Here is a 22,933-nt window from a genome sequence, read left to right as displayed (position 1 = left end):
TGTACTGAAATTTCCAAAGCCTGTAAACAGCTGAGCATAATCATGTTTCAACTTGGTGGTATATTACTTTGGACAGAGTGGTTATGCCATAAAAAGCTCAAAGCGTGAAGATGGGGTTCTATTTTTTCCATTAATTGCTGCAGCGTTTCAGATTAATTCCAGTGACGTGACAGCCCAAAAAAGCAATGGTTTAAACACCAATAAATTTTATTTTTCTCTTAAGAGAGACAGTCCTGCTTGGCACAGCAGCTCCCCTGTCCTTCTCGCCACTCTCAGTGCTCTGGCTGTGTCATCCTTAGACAATCGTCCTTGTCTTTATGGTCCAAAATGGTGTCTGTACATCCAGACCACACATCCATATTCCATGCTGCAGAATGGAAGAGAGGCAGTGAAGGGCGGGGGCGGCTCCTGCCTTCTCAGAGTTCCCAGAAGAACCCTCACAACACATGGGCTCTCATCTCCTTGTCCGAGCTAAGCCACTGACCACAGCTGCTATGGAGTAAGGAAATGTGTCCTTGGTCCAAACACAGAAGATCTTGCTTCTCTCCCATCTTCACCTTCTCCCGAGCACGTCCTTCCTCCATCCGCAGCCTGGGCACTCCTTCAGCTCCAACCTGTGCTAAATGAATTACAAGTTAGAAGGGCTGTTGGTTGGCAGCAGGCATCTAGCAGCCTTGGTGACATTTGTCTAAGTCCTGGTTGTCAGGGGTGATGTGGGCAGCTTGTTCCTTATACATACCTGTATGGAAGGCCTGCAGGGTGTCTGGGGCTTAGAGATGGTAATGAAATCAAATCCATCCTCTGAAGGAGTTCACCCAGAGCAACTACCATTTCTTTCTTTTTTTTTTTTTTTTTTTTTTTTGAGACAGTGTCTCACCCTGTTGCTCACGCTGGAGTGTAATGGCACGATCATAGCTCACTGCAGCTTTGAACTCCTTAGCTCAAGGGAGCCTCCTGCCTCAGCCTCCTGAGTAGCTGGGACTACAGGTGTGCACTACCTGCCAGGCTCACAGCTACCCATTCTTGAGCACTCTCCCAGGCGCTAGGCTATGAACATACTATACTATCACAAGACTCTCACAGTGAGTTTTGTGGTGGGTGGTTGCGTCCTTCCCATGAGAAGGTTGAGGCTGGAAGGAATGATTGAATGAAGATAGTGCAGGCAGAGTTGGAATAGGAACCCGGGGCCACTGGAATGTTTCTGGCACATCAGTCTTCCTTGTGTGTCCCCAGAAGTGGCCCCCAAGAGAATGTGACCTGGGCCATGGGATCTGCAGCTGCTTCTGGTGGGCAGGGCTCAGAGAGACCCACAGGGCAAAAATGACTGCCAGGGTTCCAGTCTGAGGCCTACGTCCTGCCATGTGGAAGAAAGCTGGACAGGGAGCTTCGTGTGCCATTGACTCAGGGGTCCATTCTTTTAGGACCTCTGAAAAGTCTCAACATTCCCAGCCCTCAGTTCCCTCAACTGTGAATGCAAATCATAACAGTCCCCATAGGAAAAAGAACTCAATAGACATTTCTGAAAAAAAAAAAAAAAAAATAGCAAACAGGCATATGAAAAGGGGCTCAACATCAGTGATCATCAGAGAAATGCAAATTAAAACCACAATGAGATATCATCTCACTCCAGTTAAAATGGCTTCTATCCAAAAGACAGGCAATAAGGAATGGGGGCGAGGATGTGGAGAAAAGGGAACCCTTGTATGCTGTTGTTGGGAATGTAAATTAGTACAACCACTATGGAGAATGGTTTGGAGGTTCCTCAAAAAACTAACAATAGGACCGGGCATGGTGGCTCACGCCTGTAATCCCAGCACTTTGGGAAGCTGAGGCGGGTGGATCACTTGAGATCAGGAGTTTGAGACCAGCCTGGCCAACATGGTGAAACCCTGTACTAAAAATACGAAAGTTAGCCAAGTGTGGTGGCACACACCTGTAATCCCAGGCACTCAGGAGGCTGAGGTAGGAGAATCACTTGAACCTGGGAGGCAGAGGTTACAGTGAGCCAAGATTGCGCCATTGCACTCCAGCCTAGGCAACAGAGTGAGACTGTCTCAAAAAAATGTTTTTTTAAATAAAAAATAAACCTAACAATAGAGCTACCATATGATCCAGCAATCCTACTACCAAGTATATACCTAAAAGAATGGAAATCAGTATATTGAAGACATCTCTGCACTCCCATGTTTATTACAGCACTGTTCACAACAGCCAAGATTTGGAGGCAACCTAAGTGTCCATCAACAAATGAATGGATAAAGGAAATGTGGTACATATACACAATGAAAAACCATTCTGCCATAAAAAAGAATGAGATCCTATCATTTGCAACAACATGGATGGAACTGAAGGATATTATGTGAAATAATCCAGGCACAGAAAAACTTCTCATGTTCTCACTTATTTGTGGGGGCTAAAAATCAAAACAATTGAACTCATGGAGACAGAGAGTAGAAGGATGGCTACCCAAGGCTGGGAAGGGTAGTAGTGGAGGGGTGGGGGATGGTTAATGGGTACAAACATATAGTTAGATAGAATGAATAGGATCTAGTATTTGATAGCACAACAGGATGACTACAATAATTTATTGTATATTTAAAAATAACTGAAAGTATAATTGGAAAGTTCATAACATAAAAAAAAAATGCTTGAGGGGATGAATACCCCATTTACCCTGATGTGATTATTATACATTGTATGCCTATATCAAAATATCTCATGTACCCCATAAATATATACACCTACTAGTAACCATAAAAATTTTAAAAATTTAAGTAACCAAATTAAACCTCTAGAGATTAAAGCTTAAAAGAAATAGTCCCCCTGCGAGAACTGAAATGAGCTACCGTCTGTAAAAATACCCAATAAATAAAGCAAGCACTAATGTTCATGGAATTGCAGCAGCATCATCCTTTCTTTCTACAAACCACTGCTCAGGAAAATAAAAGAGGACACAAACAAATGGAAGAACATTCCATGCCCATGGATAGGCAGAATCAATATCATGAAAATGGCCATACTGCCCAAGGTAATTTATAGATTCAATGCCATCCCCATTAAGCTACCAATGACTTTCTTCACAGAATTGGAAAAAACTCCTTTAAAGTTCATATGGAACCAAAAAAGAGCCCGCATTGCCAAGACAATCCTGAGCCAAAAGAACAAAGCTGGAGGCATCATGCTACCTGACTTCAAACTATACTACAAGGCTGCAGTAACCAAAACAGCATTGTACTGGTACCAAAACAGAGATATAGACCAATGGAACAGAACAGAGCCCTCAGAAATAATAGCACACATCTACAACCATATGATCTTTGACAAACCTGACAAAAACAAGAAATGGGGAAAGGATTCCCTATTTAATAAATGGTGCTGGGAAAACTGGCTAGCCATATGTAGAAAGCTGAAACTGGATCCCTTCCTTACACCTTATACAAAAATCAATTCAAGATGGATTAAAGACTTAAATCTTAGACCTACAACCATAAAAACCCTACTAGAAGAAAACCTAGGCAATACCTTTCAGGACATAGGCATGGGCAAGGACTTCATGTCTAAAACACCAAAAGCAATGGCAACAAAAGCCAAAATTGACAAATGGGATCTAATTAAACTAAAGAGCTTCTGCACAGCAAGAGAAACTACCATCAGAGTGAATAGGCAACCTACAGAATGGGAGAAAATTTTTGCAATCTACTCATCTGACAAAGGGCTAATATCCAGAATCTACAAAGAACTCAAACAAATTTACAAGAAAAAAACAAACAACCCCATCAAAAAGTGGGCAAAGGATATGAACAGACAACTTCTCAAAAGAAGACATTTATGCAGCCAACAGACACATGAAAAAATGCTCATCATCACTGGCCATCAGAGATATGCAAATCAAACCACAATGTGATACCATATCACACCATTTAGAATGGCAATCACTAAAAAGTCAGGAAACAACAGGTGCTGGAGAGGATGTGGAGAAATAGGAACACTTTTACACTGTTGGTGGGACTGTAAACTAGTTCAACCATTGTGGAAGACAGTGTGGCGATTCCTCAAGGATCTGGAACTAGAAATACCATTTGACCCAGCCATCCCATTACTGGGTATATACCCAAAGGATTATAAATCATACAGCTATAAAGACACATGCACACGTATGTTTATTGCAGCACTATTCACAATAGCAAAGACTTGGAACCAACCCAAATGTCCATCAATGATAGACTGGATTAAGAAAATGTGGCACATATACACCATGGAATACTATGCAGCCATAAAAAAGGATGCGTTCATGTCCTTTGTAGGGACATGGATGAAACTAGAAATCATCATTCTCAGCAAACTATCGCAAGGACAGAAAACCAAACACCACATGTTTTCACTCATAGGTGGGAATTGAACAATGAGAACACTTGGACACAGGGTGGGGAACATCACACACTGGGGCCTGTTGTGGGGTTGGGGGAGTGGGGAGGGATAGCATTAGGAGAAATACCTAATGTAAATGACGAGTTAATGGGTGCATCACACCAACATGGCACATGTATACACATGTAACAAACCCGCACGTTGTGCACATGTACCCTAAAACTTAAAGTATAATAAAAAAAAATTTCACTAGTAATCACTTAACATATATATACAATTTTAATTTTTCCATTTAATTCAATCCTTGTTTTATCTATGTATAATTTTTAGAAAGCCTAACAGAGAATACATACAAGATTATATTCTGAGTTTGGTCCAGCCCCCCCTCACTCATGAGCATTTTTCCCTACCTCTAAATTGATTGCATACATATTCTAATGGCTACAGGATGACAAATAATTCTAATATCATATTTTACTTAGTCACTTAATATTTTATTATTTCGGTTGTTTGAATATTTTACGATAAAAAATGCTGTAACAAATGACCTCATGAATTTGACTTTTTCCTTTTAGATTATTTCTTAACAAAAGCACAGCAGTTCAAAAGAAGGATTATTTTTATTTTTCCTACCAAGTTGATTTCCAAAAGACTAGCAATTATCATTACTACGAATGTAACAGTTTCAACAGAACTTTATCAGATTTGGGCACTTACACTTTTGGTCAACTTAGAAAACATATCTTAGAAATATATTTGTAAAAGAATAATTTTCTTGCCTTTTTAAAGATGACAAGTGGGAGGGTTGAACTCTCCATGTATAAGTTGGCTGCCCTTACAGGAAATGTAAATGTCCTTTGCACATTTCATCTATTGAAGTCTTGAAGATTTCATTGTATCTCTGGCTTCTAATGTCTTCAATTACTTATATCAATTGCTTTTAATAACAATACAATATTTAGGGAAACTAATATTTTCTAGCAACTTATAGCTTACAAGAATAAACAGGGCAAGTCTCATGGTTTTTAATATGCTTCTTCAAAAAGTATGAACTGATTAATTGCCAGAATGTTAATAATTTCACATGATACATGAAATACAGAGTGGACCACAGTGAAATAGATAGCTCCATCTACTGTAAATACTTTGAATTGGATATCTCCAGCTTTTGTCTTTACGGACTTACTTTCATAATGAATTTAGGAGTTTTGTAAGTGATGTCATGCTCAGAGCCTTTTGCTAGACTCTGAGGGATATAAATATAATTAACATGAGGATGCTGCCCTCAAGGAGCTCCTAGGTGAGCAGTATGAGGGCAGCCCCTAGTCCAGGCTGACATTTGGTGATCTGCTGACTTTATGCTGACTCAGAAAAGCCAAGGTTTTAGAGTGTAAAAGAGTTACTCTGCTTTACCTAAAATCATAATCACTGGAGTGGGATAAAATTAAGTGATGAGTTGGGGAAGGACGTTTGGAAAGTGTTAAGAGAGATGGGCAGGAAAAAGGAAATGCAGGGGAAAGGGTAAGGAGAGGCCAGTGGTGCTCCCATTTATCCCAGGCTGACCACCATCGGAGGGCAAGGAAAGGGTCTTCCCTTTCCTTGAAGGACCAGGTCATTTGTTTACAGCAGTTGTGCCTAGCACAGGCCAGATTTCATTTTCTGAACTAAGAGAACTTTCAAGGAACTATTGTCTGGTAGATGAAATGGATACTCAAGAAAAACCATACCCTGTGATAAGTGTTAGAATAAAAGTATATGTAGTGTGCCTTGGAAGTAGAGAGAAGGAAGAAATTCTTTCTGCTGCAGGGAGTAGGGTCTGGAGCAAGTACGGTATCAGGTCACAGAATGGGACAACCTCCCAAAGGAGGAGACCAGTTGAGATAAGCACTGAAGAATGGCAGGATTTCTAGGGCACAGAAAGAGGAAGGGCATTGTGGGCAAGAGGAAAAGCATGAACAATTGCATGGAGGTGCAAAGTTTCATCATGTGTGTAGGAAACAGTGCAGCCTGATGTGGCTAAAGCTTAGTAAGGTGTTAGAAGACTAACTTCTTAGCAATGCAAGAAGTTACATAAGCAGGAACCAGCATCTGAAGACTTTGAACTCTAGATTAAAAAGTCTGCAGACACTGGGGAGACATTGAGAGTTTTGATGCAGGGCAGGGACAGGACAGCAGGCAATAGGCTTTGCTTGCAACAAAGGAGAGTGTGGATGGTAGCAGATTAGGACTGCAGGTTAGAGAGACAGAAAATAGAGAAATAGAGAACCAGAACCAGGCAATAACAGTACAAAGAGGAGGAAACAGAATTTTCTCTGTCACAAGAGAGAGTTCAAATTTACCAGTGGGATGCACCGTACTGGGCCACGAACTGGACTTGGGCAGCACTTTTAACCAAGATAAGATTCGGGAGAAGAAATGATCAGGTGATTACGATCCATCTGTTGATACAAGATATGGCACATAAAAAGTGCTCTGTCTGCTGGGTGTGGTGGCATGTGCCTATAGTCCCAGCTACTCAGGAGGCTGAAGCAGGAGGATTGTTTGAGCCCAGGAGTTCGAGGCTGTAGTACACGATCATCATGCCTGTAAATAAGCACTGCACTCTATCCTGGGCCACACAGGGAGACCCCATCTCTAAGGGAAAAAATGCTCTATCCATGTTATTTATCATTACTGTATCACTACTATTATTATTTATCTCAAAAACTAAGTCATCTTTTGCTGACTTTTTAAACAGATAACCTTTAGGAAAGTTATATAATTAGATTTCTTTATATTAAGCAAACTACCAGAGATCACTAAAAAAACTGGTTTACTGATTTTAAGATCATTAACCCTTAGAAAAGCGCCTTTGTAACTTGTGCCTATGACTCTCTGAGAGACTGGAGTCACAATGGAGAATAAGTCTGTGTGACTCTGGGAAGCTCATAGTCCAGTGGGAGGGCAGGGGACAGAGGTAAACTAGGGGTCGTAACATCCTACCCTCCCACTGGACACACTAGGGCTTACGCTCCATTATGTCCCCAGTCCCCAGGGCAGTCTTAGAGCATGACCAGTGCTCCAAAGATGTTTGTTGAAGAATGAAGGAATGAATGAATGGAACAAGAAGAATAATTAAATATTTGAAAAGAATCTTTCTTTTGAATTAAACATAATGTGTCTCAGACTCAGAAAGTGGCCAAATGATCCAGCCATGGGATGACAGAACGACTTTGACAGACACTTAGATACTAGAATCTACAATGAACAAGGGTGAGTCTGCATCCTATCCAGAGGCAGCTGAAGTGAAGCCACCGCACTTTCCCTCTCCTGAGCAGTTTTCTCAACTCTAGACTCATCAAAGAGATTTTGGCTGAAGGACAGCTTGGCTGAGTAGATGCTATAGGAAGTGTCAAAATTGAAGTTGACCTTAAAATGGTAAACATAGGTTCAAATGTTCATTCTGAAAGGTGAGCGGGAAAAGATTATATAGGGACTGTGGGTTGAGTTTCATATTTTGCAAACCAAGAAGGTAGGTAGCCTTTCAGAAAGGGTATGGGACAATGCAAAGTCCAGGTTAGCCCTTGACCAGGTAAGGTGGAAGCTTGGTAATTACCTGCTTGTCTTGGCCAATCTTGAAAGATTAATGATAATTTACAAAGATAAAATATATCTTATAATGAACTCTTTTTCCTTATGGTTAATAGAAATAACAGGGTATCTCCTAATGTTTTGGGTCATTTTGTACCTGTAGATAATCAAAGAGCAACCAAACTGATGATAAAATGTGTCCTTTACTGCATACATACAAGTTTCAAACTTTTGTGAACAACCCTCTAGTAAAAGATGTGTAAGGCAGAGATGGGCAGGAAAGTTAAGTTGCAGGTAAGGTAGCACAAAAAACAAGCACCCTCTAAGCTCATGAAAGAACAACAAACTATTTAAGCTTTGCAAGGCTTTAATTACATGCCAGGCACCATGGCCAGAACCTCAGAAAACAAAGTTGACTATGAAAGATCTGATTCTGGTCTTCAAGGAGCAAACAGTAGGGGGAGAAAAGGGTGAGCACAGATCTGGGAGGGCCAGGATTGTGAGCAGTACTTGCCACAGTGGCCCCAGTACCTAGTAAACACAGTGCTCACAAATAGTAGGGATTCAGGGTGTCTGCTTGGATGAAATATGGCCCAAGGCAGCAATGGCTGTGGGACCCCAGATGTGGTTCACAGTGATGCTTGTCCATCCTGAGTCCTTGGGGGTTCAGAAGTGCTCTAGGAGCAGGACAGAGAGGGGCTTCCACTACTGGGGTCCATGGGAGGCCACCTGAATCAGCGTTACCTGCAGAGTCCCAGGCCTCACCCCAGACCTATTTGGTAAGACTCTCTGGGACTTGTCCTAAGAATCTGGCTTTTTAACATATTCTGGAATCAAAACATCTTTTTTTGAAACTCAGTTTTCCTACACTTACTGATTGTGTAAACTTGAGCAAATTAAAAATCTTCCTAGATTTCAAATAGCTCATCTGTAAAATGCAGATAGTAAAATAGTTCTTATCACCCAGGGTTCGTGTTGACACAGTGGAAAAAGGCAACGAAAGCATAAAGCATAAGAAAGCACTCAGCAGCTTAGACAATGATGAGGCAGGTGAGGAGACACAACCATCCATGTGCATTTGCTATTATGGCAATCATCAAACTTTATCGATACTATATGTCATTTTTCTCCATTTTATTTCTAACTGAAAATGCTATTTGAATAGCTTAAGGTTTATGTTTTGCTGTTTTAATTATTTTATTAAAAACAAAACTAAATAACAACAACAAAAGAAGTTTACCCCTTTGGCAAAGACTGTTAATCTTTTTTTTTTTTTTGGAGACAGAGTCGTACTCTGTCACCCAGGCTGTCACCAAGTGCAATCTTGGCTCACTGCAACCTCTGCCTCCCGGGCTCAAGGGGTTCTCCTGCCTCAGCCTCCCAAGTAGCTGGGATTACAGATGTCTGCCACCACACCTGGCTAATTTTTGTATTTTTAGTAGAGACAGGGTTTCACCATGTTGGCCAGGCTGGTCTCGAACTCCTGACCTCAAGTGATCTGCCCACTTCAGCCTCCCAAAGTGCTGGGATTGCAGGCATGAGCCACAGCACCTGGGCAAGACTGTTTATCTTAATTATGATGAAGAAGGCCCTTGGTCAGATTTCCAAGCTCTTAATGCCTGGCAATGTTGTACCCTAATTGCATCTTCTACTTTCTAGAAGATAAAGAGTCTTGGGGGCCTTGAAACCACAACTATGAAAAAGGAGAGTAGGTTGGGCGCGGTGGCTCACGCCTGTAATCCCACCACTTTGGGAGGCCGAGGCGGGTGGATCACGAGGTAAGGAGATCGAGACCATCCTGGCTAACATTGTGAAACCCCATCTCTACTAAAAATACAAAAAATTAGCCAGGCATGGTGGCGGGCACCTGTAGTCCCAGCTACTCGGGAGGCTGAGGAAGGAGAATGGCGTGAACCCGGGAGGTGGAGCTTGCAGTGAGCTGAGATTGCGCCACTGCACTCCAGCCTGGGCGACAGAGTGAGACTCCATCTCGGAAAAAAAAAAAAAAAAAAAAAAAGGAGAGTAAACCATTCACACGTTTACTGCTCAAATGTCTCTGATTCAGATATTTCTCTCTCCCATTAAGACTATCCTCAAAGCCGCTACTACATCTTTTGCACCAGGAGTCCCCATCTAGGCCATTGACTGGTACCAGTCCATGGCCTGTTCAAAACTGAGTACAGCAGGAGATGAGTGGCAGATGAGCAAGCATTACTACCTGTATTAATCAGGGTTCTCTAGAGGGACAGAAGTAATAGGATATACATATATATATATATATATGAGTTTAAGAAGTATTAACACACGATCACAAGGTCCCACAATAGGCTGTCTGCAAGCTGAGAAGCAAGGAAGCCAGTCTGAGTCCCAAAGCTCAAGAACTTGGAGTCCGATGTTTGGGGGCAGGAAGCATCCATCATGGGAGAAAGATATAAGCTGGGAGGCTAAGCCAGTCTAGCCTTTTCATGTTTTTCTGCCTGCTTTTATATTCTGGCCATGCTGGCAGCTGAATAGATGGTGCCTACCCAGATTAAGGGTGGGTCTGCCTTTCCCGGCCCACTGACTCAAATGTTAATCTCATTTGGCAACACCCTCACAGACACACCCAGGATCAATACTTTGCATCCTTCGACACAATCAAGTTGACATTCAGCATTAACCATCACACTACCTGAGCTCCACCTCCTGTCAGATCAGCAGGGGCATTAGATTCTCATAGGAGCGTGAACCCTATTGTGAACTGCGCATGCGAGGGATCTGGGTTGCACGCCCCTTATGAGACTCTAATACTTGATGATCTGAGGTGGAACAGTTTCGTCTAGAAACCATACTCCCCTTCCCTGTGAAAAAACTGTCTTCCACAAAACTGGTCCCTGGTGCCAAAAAGGTTGGGGATTGCTGTTTTACACTATTGCAAACACACACTTCAATTTTGTTCTCCTCTATTTTCTACAGTGGCTGGAATTAACTTGTAAAAATGTAAATCTGATCATATCACCTTTTGCTTGAACACCTTTCACTGAAACACCTTTCAATGGCTTTTCTCTTTTAGATGAAACAACAAAACCTTAACATGATACATGAGTTCCTTTGTGTTTTGGTGCCGTTTTCCTGTCTCTTATCTCTTGCACTACATTGGGTAAATACTGGACTTCTTTGAATAAGTCAGACCTCCTTGCTTTTGGACTTTGGGCATGCTGTTCCTTCTACCTGGAACACTCTGTGCCCTTTACCTGGCTACTAGTACTTCAGGTCTCAGTGTTACAGGTAGATTCTTTACTTAGGAAGACCTTCTTTGACCCCATGGACTATGTTAGAGTCCCCTAATTATGTGGCCCCATATCCATCCATGTGCATTTGCTATCATAGCAATCATCAAACTTTACTGATATTATTTGTTATTTTGCTCCTGCTGTACTGTAAATTCTATGAACATAGGGAACACATCTTATTTTTTCAACTTTGTAGCTCTAGCCCCTGAGATAATTTCTCACACAAAGGAAGTGCTCAATGAATACTTACTGAACAAACGAGAAAAAATATTTTAACAGGTGGCACTCAGAATTCCCCCAGGAAAGGAACTCTCTTGGGGGAAATATCCCCTTAAATCTGATCAGGGTGGGTGTGTCCTTGCTAGTTTGGGATGTTAGCAGGCACTGAGAACTGTCCAAGGAAGAGGGCACCCCTTAGTATTTGAATAAAAAGGCTGAATTTATTGTTTGCTTAAGAAGATCTGTACTTATAAGGCACAGTATGTTAGCCCATTTTGCACCATTATAAAGAAATACCCGAGGCCGGGCAATTTATAAAGAAAAGAGGTTTAACTGGCTCACAGATCTGGAGGCTATACAAGCATGGCATCAGCATCTGCTTGGCTCTGGTGAGGCCTCAGGGAGCTTTCAGTCATGGTGGAAGATGAAGACGGAGTCAGTGTATCACATGGTGAGAGCAGAATAAACAGAGGGAGAAGGGGGCCTTAAACTCTTTTACACAACCAGGTCTCATGTGAACTAAGGACTCAGTCACCACAAAAGGGATGGTGCTAAACCATCTGTGAAGGATCTACCTCCATGATCCAATCACCTCCTACCAGGCCCCACCTCCAACATGCGGACTACATTTCAGCATGAGATTTGGAGAGGACACACATCCAAACTATATCATTCCACCCCTGGACCCGAGTCTTACGTCTTTCTTACATTTAAAAATATCATGCATTTGCAATAACTCCCCAAAGTCTTACTTTGCCAGCGTTAACTCAAAAATCCCTAGGCCCAAGTCTCATCTGGAGAGCCATTCTTTCCACCTGAGTCTGTGAAATAAAAACCAAGTTATTTACTTCCAAGATACAGTGGTGGTACCCAGATGCTGGGTAAATACTCCCATTCCAAAAAAGAGAAATCAGCTAACATAAAGGGGCTACAGGCCCCCTGCAAGTCTAAAACCCAGCAGGGAAGTCATTATATCTTAAAGCTCCAAAATAATCTTTGACTCTGTGTCCCACATTCAGGGCACACTGGTGCAAGGAGTGGGCTCCCAAGGCTTTGGGCCGTTCTACCCTGTGGCTTTGCAGGGTGCAGCACCCATGGCTGCTCTCATGGCTTTGAGTTGAGTACCTACAGCTTTTCCACACTGAGTTTGCAAGCTGCTGGTGGCTCTACCATTCTGGGGTCTGGAGGGCAACAGCCTCTTTCCCACAGTTTCACTAGGCAGTGCCCCGGGAGGGACTCTATGTTTGGGCTCCAATCCCATATTTCCCTTTGGTGTTTCCTTATTAGAGGCTCTCCATGAGGACTCTGGCCCTGCAGCAGGCTTCTGCCTGGGCACACCCAGGCTTTCTCATACATCCTCTGGCATCTAGGTGGAAGTTGCAAAGCCTCCTTCACTCTTGCATTCTGTCCACCTGCTGGCTTAACACCACATCGAAGCCATCAAGGCTTATGGTGGCTTCCACTCTCCAAAGCAATAGCCCAAGCTGTACCTGGAGTCCCTTGAGCTACAGCTGTAGCTGGAGTGGCCAGGATGCCAGGACTAGCGTCCTGAGGCTGTGCTGGGCAGAAGTGTCTTGGGCCTGGCCCCTGAAACCATTCCTTCCTCCTAGGCCTCTGGGCATTTGAAAGGGCTGCCTCGAAGATTTTTGAAAGGCCTCTGAGGCCTTTTCCCCATTGCCTTGGATATTAGCACTTGGCTCCCTTTTATTCATGCAAATCTCTCTAGCAAGTGGTCAGATTCATCTGCTGAAAAACACTTTTTCCTTCTTTACCACATGGCCAGGCTGCACATTTTCCAAACTTTTACACTCTGGTTTCCTTTTAAATATGAGTTCCAACTTAAGTCATTTCTTTGCTCCCATATCTGATAGTAGGTTAGAAGCAGTCATACCACTTCTTGAATGCTTTGCTGCTTAGAAATTTCTTCTGCCAAATAACCTAAGTCATCACTCTTAATTTCAACCTTCCACAGATTCCTAGGACACAATGCAGCCAAGCTCTTTGCTAGGATGTAACACAGGTCACCTTCGCTCCAGTTCCCAGTAATTTCCTCATTTCTATCTGAGACCTCCTCAGCCTGGCCTTCACTGTCCATATCTCTATCAGCATTTTGGTCATAACCACTTTACAAGTCTCTACGAAGTTCCAAACTTTCCCTCATCTTTCTCTCTTCTTCTCAGCCTTCCAACCTCTTCCAACCTCTGCCTGTTACCCAGCTCCAAAGGTACTTCTATATTTTCAACTGTCTTTACAGTAATGCCCCACTCCTTATACTGATCTTCTGTATTAGTCCATTTTTGCATTGCTATAAAAAATGCTTGAGGTTGGGTAATTTATAAAGAAAAAGGTTTAACTGGATCACAGTTCTGCAGGCTGCACAAGCATGATGCCAGCATCTACTGGGCTTCTGGTGAGGCCTCAGGTAGCTTTCAATCAGTGTGGAAGGTGAAGGGAAGCCAGTGTGTCACATGGTGAGAATGGGAACAAGAGAGGGAGAAGGGGAAGGTCCCAAACTCTTTTAAACAACCAGATCTCACATGAACCAAGTGAGAACTCACTCATCACCCAGGGAATGGGTAAACCATTCATGAAGAACCACCCCCGCCCCATGATCCAATCACCTCCCACCAGGCCCCACCTCCAACACTGGGAATCACATTTCAACATGAGATTTGGAGGGGACAAACATCCAAACTATATCATACAGTCTTTCTAATTAAAGCACATTGCATATCCTAAATACGTATTTAGGAATTTTAGAGTTCAGGGATTGCTGGATTTTCAGAAACAGGAATATCTATGGATTGACTGATCATTAGCTATGGAAGCATGGTTATTGGGCTGAGACTTGTTAACTGGCTGTCTCAGAAAGTTGGCGTTGTCAATGACTGGCCAGTTTTCAAAAACCTGTGTAATAGTTAGAGTTGATCAATCCGGCTGTTTCTGGGGGGTTTTTTGTTACAGCAGCAGAACAAAACAAATACTCATTGTTCTGGGAGGGCAGAGGTACAAACTTTTATTCTCAGCCTCCAGGAGATGAAAAAACAATAAATGAATAAACAAGTAATTACCAAAGAGGAGAGCGGAAGAAAGAGAAGAAAGGTGAAGTCACAGAGGAACTCTACCATGATGGGGTCCAGAAGACACTTTGAGAACAATACCTTCTATTTTACTTAAGTTGTGTTCATTGATACAAGGCAAACTCTCCTTCTTCCTATCCCACCTTCCTGCTAATATCCTCTTGCATTTTTAGTAAGTGTTACCTTAGAGAGCATGAATGAGCATATTGGACAATGGAGGGAAGATGGGTTTCATGTCCAAGTCAATGAGATGTGAGGCAAAGGTGGTTGGTGCCTTACTTGCCCAGAGCCTAGGGTGACCCTGAAAATATAAGTGAGCTACACTGGAGAGTCATAGATTTTGGTTTGAAATCAGGATTAGTGAAGTCTAATTTGAATTATATAAAATGTAGTGTATAGTTCAATGAGTTTTGACAAATGTTTGCAGTGTGTAACAACCAGGCACGATCAGGATATAGGACATTTTTATCACCCCAAAAAGATTCTCCCCATTATAACCCCTAAAGCTACACATCTGATTTCTTTCCCTATAGCTCTGCTTTTTTTCAGAAAGTCACAGAAATGGAATCCTACATTATATAACCCTTTGTGTCTGGTTTCTTTCACTTTGCTTATAAGATTCAACAGTGTTGTTCCATATACCAGTATTTCATCCCTTTTTTATTGCTGCATAGTGTCCCATTATATGGATGTGCCACAAGTTGTTTTCCATTTGCCAACTGATAGATACTGGAGTTGTTTCTAGATTTTGGCTTCATTTCTTTTAGGTAAATGTCTAGGAGTAGGAATGCTAGGTGTGATGGTTAATATTAGTCGTCAACTTGACTGGATTGGGAATGCCTAGGTCACTGGTGACACACTGTTGCTGGGTGTGTCCACAACTCATGGTGTGTCCATGAGTTGTTTCCAGAGGAGACTGGCATGTGAGTCAGTGGACTGAAAAAGAAAGACCAGCCCTCAATGTGGGTGGGCACCATCCAATCACATTGGGATGTGGCTAGAATAAAGCAGGTGGAAGAAAAGGGACATTCAGCTTGCTTGGCTTTCCTTTTTTGCTCTCTCACACTTCTGGAGCAAGAAGACTTTTCTGCCTCTCACCCTTGGACATCAGACTCCAGGTTCTTCAACCTCTGGGCTCTGGGACTTACACTAGCAGCCTCCCAGGGACTCTCAGACCTTCAGCCTCAGAATGGGGGCTGTAGTGTTGGCTTCCCTGGTTTTGAGGCTTTCACACTTGGACTGAGTTACACTATTGGCTTCTTTCATTTTCCAGCTTGCCTAATTGTGGGACTTCACCTTTGTGAACATGGGAACCAATTCTCCCTAACAAATTAACTTCCATACACATACACACAAACACACATATATCTACATACACATATACATACATATACATGTATATACACATAATTGTATATCTATGTAGACATGTATATATGTATATCCACACACATGTGCGTGTATATACACACATACACATGTGTATATATGTATATCCACACACGTGTCTATGTGTACATCCACACATGTGTATATGTGTATATCTACATATACATATATGTATATATATGTGTATTAGGGTTCTCTAGAGAGACAATATACTAGGTTTTATGGAAAATATATCTTAACTTGATAAGAAACTGCCAAACTGTTTTCCACAGTGGTTACAGCATCTGCATTCCCATCAGCAATGTATGCGAGTTCCAGTTGTACTATACCCTTGTCAGCACTTGATAAGGTTGTAACCATAATTGGTCCAGTGCCCAATGCATTCAGCAAGTCAACATGTGGAGACACCAGGCTGCAGCAGAGAGGTTTAGTCGTAGTGTCACAGAACAGGGAGACAGGAGGGAACCTCAAATCCATCTCCTTAAGGAGTTTGGGGTAGGGTTTTTTAGGGTTTTGGAGTGGGCCGAAGGGCAGAGATCATTCATTGGTTGAACAGTGCAGGTTGAAGTCATAGGGCAGGAGATGAGGAAGCTGTCTTCTCATGCTGATTCTGCGCTTCAAAATGCTTATGGAATTCAGGGTCTGTAAACATCTTAACTGATCCTTAAGCAAAAACCTTATGGTTTTAATGTCAGAGATTCTATCTATAGGAACAATAGAGATGAAAATCAACTGTTAAATAGTCATGATCCTAAAGTTGGAAATTCTATTGATAGGAACAACTGCGGATGCAACTGGTCAGTATCTAGAGTGCTGTGTGACTTTCAGCAACTGATAAATGGGTCAAAGTGCAGCCTGATTAATGCTGATTTTTTTTTTTGTCATGAGTAAGACGATATCTACTAGATTCCTCTTTTGTAAAGTTCCTGTTTTTTTAAATAAGAATTTCATGGGGAGATGCTTTGAACCTATGTAAGTAACTCATTCCTTATTCAACTTTTCCCCACTAGATTTAGCAAACATTGATATTTCTTGTCTGATGATTGCCAAATGGTGATTTTCTAATTCTGTTTACTGAGTACCCCCATTTTTCTAAGAGAAAGATAACTGTGTTTTAAAACATTTTTTTTTTCTTTTCTCCTTTTCTCCTTTCTCCCACTTCCCACTTAGTTCCTTAGAAATGCAATTATAATCTTTACCTTCCCTTCACCAGACACTCCTTACAGGGCAAGCTTATTTAACCATGTGCTTTTAGAAGGTTCTAAGCCAGAAATCTCTCCCACCAGGAGACTGCCTGGAGAGACAACAGTCAATTTACAATCTAAACTATGCCTGCTAGGAAACTCTGTCCCACTTGGAGAGCATCTCAGACAATGGCCACTTTACAATCTAGTCCTGCCTGCCATGGTGCCAGCTCAAACACCCGGTAGATAAAAGCGCTAAGGAGAGTCATGTAGATCCTCACCTGCTTGCTCCCTCCCCTGCATGCCATTCATGCCAAGTCCCACTTTAAAAGCCCCTGCTTTCTGCCCCAAAAGCAAATCAGTACCTTAAGGCAGGAACCTGCACTTTTCCCCCTACGTTAAGCTTTGGAATAAAAAGTCACTTTCTTTACGGCAGACCTCACTCTTGTTAATTGTGCTCTGTAAGCAGTGGGCTGCTGAACCTATGACTGGGTTACAATTCCATTCTTTTTTCTAAATATATTATTGAATTCTATTCTAAAGAGCTCTTTATTGCCATTTATTTTTTTTTTTTGAAAGTGTGGACTCATAGATTCCATTTTAACCCATGGGATATAATCTCCTGCTACTGTGATTTATTTTGATGTTCAAATTGTCCCAGATTTGGCCAACAGGAGCCCTTTCAAGCTGATTGCTTTGTCCTTTTGAACTGTCTCCACCATTTCTTGAGCATTTCCACACTTTCTAGCACAAGATGTTCCAGTCTCATACTATACTTTCTCTGGCCCAACCCTAAAATCAGCCATTTCTCTAAAGCGCCCTGGTTCCTTTTCATGGAGAAAGGTGTTTAGAGCTAGGTGTTAGGTGTTCTCTTGGCTAATGTGGTGTTGCTGCACCAAGACCTTCTCACTGGTTAGGCCTAGGAAATATATGTAAATACATTTATAGACATGTGTGTGTATATAACTGACTGTGGAAAAATTACACACCCTATTCCCTCACCCTCAACAATTAACAAAGAAGACTTCAGTGACCAAATGTCGGGGGGCGTTTCCCCACACACCAAGCAAGCAATCGATTCTGCAGCAGACACCAACTGGGTGTCCTCCAATTCCCTTCTAACCTGGAGATAGCATCAGATCCCACAGGTTGAGGCTCACTCCCCAACACATCCCAACAACTGCCCCACTCTGTCCCTGGCCACTGACCAGTCCCAAGTCTGGGCCTCCAGAACTTCCGACAGGCTTCAAGTTGTGGTTGCCATGACCCCCTCTTGGGTTAGATTAATTTGCTAGAGCAGCTCACTGAACTCAAGCAAACACTTATGTTTACAAAAGATATTACAAACAATACAGATGAAAAGATAAATAGGATGAGGTGTGGGAGAAGGGGCTCAGACCTTTCATGCCTTCCCTGGGTGCACCACCCTCCCAGGAACCTCCTGGTGTTCAGCTATCTAGAAGCTCTCCAACCCTGTCCTCATGGGTTTTTATGCAGGCTTCATTACATAAGGGATGACTGATTAAACTATTGGCCACTGGTGATAACCTGACCTTCAACCCTTCTCTTCTCCAAGAAGTTGGTGATAGGCTGAAGGTCCAACCCTCTGATCCTGCCTTGGTCTTTCTGATGACCAACCCCATCCTAAAGCTACCTAGGGGCTCCCAGCCACGAGCCAACTCATTAGCATACAAAAGACATCACTTCGGTGTTTGTAAGAAATTTAGGAGTTGTACACCAGAAAATGAGGTCAAAGACCAAATATATATTTCAGAATCTCACAAAATATATAGATACACACTTTTACATTTATATTTATTTTTATATCTACATGTATTAAGAACCATGACTTTACATGAATATCTCCAATTCCAATCCAATCACACAAACTTCTTGCTTTTCTTATTTCTGTACTTGTAACTCCCTTCTCCAACAGGGAAAAATCTGGCTCCCATTAGCCTCAATATAGTTTTTCTTTGTGTAGTTCTCCTGTATGTAATCAGCTGTCTGGCCTTGCAGGGCTGCTGCCCCACCTTCCTTCTTTGGGCTCAGACTCCTCACTGAACTGACAGCCCAGTCCAATATGGGAGTGACTATATTCTCCCATGTAGATGGAAAAGCAGAGAGAACAAGTTAGCAGAGATACATAGAAAACAATCACAAGGGGCACAGAGAGTACCTTTTGGGTTCCTGGAAGCTTTTCAATGACTGGTTCTAGTTTTTGCTAAGATGTGGCTGTATTCCTGTTCTGGGCTTTTGTGAGAAGCACCTATATCATTATGGTAAATTCTCCCTTTTTGGTTGCGCTAGTTCAGCTTGGTTTCTGTTACTTGCAAACAGAGAGTCTTAAAGGTATATTTAAATCCTGGCTTGTTCTACAAAAAATAAACCAAATTGTGGAAATAATAGGGGCTAAGGGAAAATAAAAATTAGCCCATAGAAAATGCATGCCACATGGTACTATACCGTTGCTTAACACGGGCTGAAATATAGGCTTTAAGATTTCTAGTGATCCAAACAAAGTGTGAAACAATATCCCTTACAAGATTTTATGTCTCTGGATTTAAAACAAACCAGCAAGTGGAGCATGAATAGATAGACCATTAGAACGGATACAGAGTCCAGAAGTGAACTGCTCAATAAATGACTGTGTAGCCACCTGGACAAAAAAATTAATTTGGATCTATACCTCACCCTATATATTAAATCGATTCCAAATGGATCAACTTTTAATTCCAAAAGACTTAAAGTCTAAATGTCCATCAATAGAGAATTGGTAAATTATGGTATGGATATACCTGCAATAATATGTTAAGGGGGTTGAAAAAACAGCAAGGAGCTCTCTATGTGTTACTATAAACATGCCCCCCGGATACATTAAGTAAAAAACACAAGGTGGAGTAAATATGTATGGCATGCCGGCATTTTTCTAAACAAGGAACACAAAGGGCATATCTTGGCTCATATATACATAAACATTTTGAAGAATGAGCAGGAAACAGTGGTCACCTATTTGTGACACTAGGACAGGTGTGAGGGACATCTTTTTCCACTGTGTATCTTTTATAGGCTTTCTGATAAATGAATAATATGGATATACTATTTATTTTAAAAATAAAAACTGAAATTGATAAAAATCAGACAAACCGGCCAGGCGCAGTGGCTCATGCCTGTAATCCCACCACTTTGGGAAGCCGAGGCAGGTCAGGAGTTCGAGACCAGCCTGGCCAACATGGTGAAACCCCGTCTCTACTGAAAATACAAAAATTAGCCGGGCGTGGTGGCACATGCCTGTAACCCAGCTACTTGGGAGGCTGAGGCAGAAGAATCGCTTGAACCTAGGAGGCAGAGGTTGCAGTGAGACGAGATTGCGCCATTGCACTCCAGCCTGGGCGACAAGAGTGAAACTCTGCCTCAAAAAAGAAAAAAACAAATACATAAAATTAAAAAAATAAAAAAATCAGGTATACCTGCTGATGGAACAAGCAGCCTGGCTAGTCTTGACAGATTGCAAGAGGGCAACCAGAGGGGCTGAAGTTGTACCAGCCCACAAATTTCCACTGCCAATAGAGTCCAGTGCCTACCCCCATACTGAGATGCTGTCCTTCTCATAAAGGCTTATCAGGGAGTCCACCGAAGAGATATCTACATTTGGGGATAAGTTAAGACGATGTTCTTTAAGCCAGACACTTATTTAACGCCCACCGATATTTTAATTCCTAGCTACAAAGAAAACCTTATATGTATGACTGGGGTCTTAAAGGTATGACATGCTCACCGTGCTTGACATATAAGAAACTACTTTTTTAAATACATGGGTCTGCCAGGAGCATCCTACTTCCTAATTTTGCCCATAAATATGCTACTTTCAAGTGAAACCTTAAGCCAATTCATAGTAAATATATTATCAAAATTTTAGCACAGTAATGACTGAGCACACCAGCCTCAAAGCCAGACTACGTGGGTTCAAATCTCAGTTGTTCACTTACTGGCTACTTACTTGTTGGAAGTTATTCCATTTCTTCGTCTGTTAAAACAGGAAGCAGGCTGGGTACGGTGGCTCACGCCCGTAATCCCAGCACTTTGGGAGGCCAAGGCGGACGGATGACAAGGTCAGAAATCGAGACCATCATGGCCAACATGGTGAAACCCCGTCTCTTCTAAAAATACAAAAATTAGCTGGGTGTGGTGGCGTGCCCCTGTAATCCCAGCTACTCGGGAGGCTGAGGCAGGAGAATCACTTGAACCTGGGAGGCGGAGATTGCAGTAAGCCCAGGTCGCACCACTGCACTCCAGCCTGGAGACAGAGTGAGACTCCGTCTCAAAAGAAAAAAAAAAAAAAAACAGGAAGCAGTTTCAGCACCTACCTCACAATGTGCACACAGTTAAAGCACCTACCTCACAGGGTGCACACAGTTAAAGCACCTACCTCACAGGGTGCACCTAAGGATCACAGGCATGCAAGCCCTAGATCAGCCTGCCCAATGGCAATATAATGCAGGCCACAGGTGACATTTAAAATTCTGTAGAACCCACACTAAAAAATAAACAAATAAAACTTTTATCCCAATATATGGAAAAAGTTTATCACTTCAACATGTAACAATTTTTTGAACATTATTTGGTAAAGAATGCATATATCTCGATTCCGACTAGCCATACTTTAAGTGCTCAGGAGCCATGTGGGGCTGGTGGCCCCAAACTGAACAGCACAGCCCAGGCAGCAGGGGCGCATAGTAGGTTCTGCTCACGCCCATGGTCTGAAAGAAACACGGTTGCAGTTGCTGTGAGCACACCTCACCTGGAGCAAACCGGCCTATCAGGGGGTCCACTGAAGAGATGTCTACATTTGGGGATAAATTAAGAAGATGTTCTTTAAGCCAGCCACTTATTTAATTCCCACCGATATTTTAATTCCTAGCTTCAAGCTGTGGTGCGCGGTTCCGACCTATGCAAATGAACAGCTTACAAACAGAGGGCCACCATCTATTTCTCATTATCTGGGGATCCCGGTTGGGGTGGGGGGCGGAAGTGGGTGTTTGTTATTTCCCCAAATGCGGAGGCCCCTGCACCACTAACGCGAGGAAACGCAGGCGAGTGGGAAGGTACTTTAAAAAGGGGAGGGAGGTGCTCAGAGGGAAGCTAAGCTCTCCGGGAAACAATTACGGCCACGTTACGGTCTGTGGGTGCCAGAAGGAGCAACAATGGAGGCAGTCGAATTCCGAGAGCTCAGAGAGTCTGCCAAACTTAGCCGGCCTCGGCGCGCGGGTTCCCGGGGGCCCCAAAAACTCCGGGCAACTGCGGCCCAACGCCAAGGTCCAGTCCAGGCGCTGGGCCGCAAACGCCTCTCCGGCCTCCGCGCGCGCGCCCGCTGTCTCCCTGCTCCTGAGTGGCTGGGGGGCCGGGATTAACCTTTCACCGCCAGGCCCTGTCCAATCACAGGCTCGCTCTCATGCCGCCACGGGGCGAGCGGAGCGTGGGGGCGCGGAGGGGCGGTGCGGGAGCCAGTGGGATTCTCCAAGCGGCTGTGCGCCGTTGCCGCGGGCCGTGCGCTGGCTGCCGGCCAGCCGGGCGCTGCGCAGTCTCCGCAGGCGCCGGCGGGAGGGGTCGAGGCGGAGGCGCGGCGCAGGCTGCTGCAGGCCCAGGTGAATGGAGTAACCTGACAGCGGGGACGAGGCGACGGCGAGCGCGAGGAAATGGCGGCGGGGGCGGCGGCGCCGGGCGGCTCCGGGAGGCCTGGGCTGTGACGCGCGCGCCGGAGCGGGGTCCGATGGTTCTCGAAGGCCCGCGGCGCCCCGTGCTGCAGGTGAGGCGGGCTCCCGCGGAGCAGCTTTGTGTCCGGGGCGGGGAG

At 43.3% G+C, this 22,933-nt stretch overlaps 1 protein-coding gene and 1 long non-coding RNA gene across 32 annotated transcripts in view, besides 3 other annotated features; one reads left to right on the top strand and one right to left on the bottom strand.

The window, feature by feature from the left end:
• Positions 1 to 184: 184 nt before the first annotated feature.
• DICER1-AS1 (DICER1 antisense RNA 1) lies at positions 185 to 22,430 on the bottom strand. The gene is made up of 4 exons (NR_015415.1): positions 22,260 to 22,430; positions 21,884 to 21,925; positions 21,083 to 21,242; positions 185 to 614 (listed from the first exon to the last, which is right to left on the bottom strand). It is a non-coding gene; the product is annotated as a DICER1 antisense RNA 1 (long non-coding RNA).
• Positions 22,108 to 22,933, top strand: part of DICER1 (dicer 1, ribonuclease III) — a 71,783-nt gene continuing 70,957 nt past the window's right edge. For 24 of the 31 annotated variants that reach the window (NR_172715.1, NR_172719.1, NR_172720.1 and 21 more), the window contains exon 1: positions 22,589 to 22,888. The gene's annotated coding sequence lies outside the window, so the exon portion shown is untranslated. Of the gene's footprint in view, positions 22,188 to 22,215; positions 22,399 to 22,588; positions 22,889 to 22,933 lie in introns of those variants that run through there. The other 7 variants (NM_001395678.1, NM_001395690.1, NM_001395680.1 and 4 more) reach the window with 3 other exon arrangements.
• Positions 22,119 to 22,188: an enhancer, noted in NCBI's record as "active region_8948". NCBI's record gives its function as "activates an Ori minimal core promoter by ATAC-STARR-seq in GM12878 lymphoblastoid cells {active_cell/tissue: GM12878}" and the evidence as "EXISTENCE:reporter gene assay evidence [ECO:0000049][PMID:35858748]".
• Positions 22,229 to 22,328: an enhancer, noted in NCBI's record as "active region_8947". NCBI's record gives its function as "activates an Ori minimal core promoter by ATAC-STARR-seq in GM12878 lymphoblastoid cells {active_cell/tissue: GM12878}" and the evidence as "EXISTENCE:reporter gene assay evidence [ECO:0000049][PMID:35858748]".
• Positions 22,419 to 22,878: a silencer, noted in NCBI's record as "silent region_6042". NCBI's record gives its function as "represses an Ori minimal core promoter by ATAC-STARR-seq in GM12878 lymphoblastoid cells {active_cell/tissue: GM12878}" and the evidence as "EXISTENCE:reporter gene assay evidence [ECO:0000049][PMID:35858748]".

This window comes from Homo sapiens, chromosome 14 (genome assembly GCF_000001405.40).
Source record: "Homo sapiens chromosome 14, GRCh38.p14 Primary Assembly".
NCBI classification, from domain to species: domain Eukaryota; kingdom Metazoa; phylum Chordata; class Mammalia; order Primates; family Hominidae; genus Homo; species Homo sapiens.
Note: the sequence above shows the minus strand (reverse complement) of the source record. Positions and strands in the feature narration are given on the sequence as shown.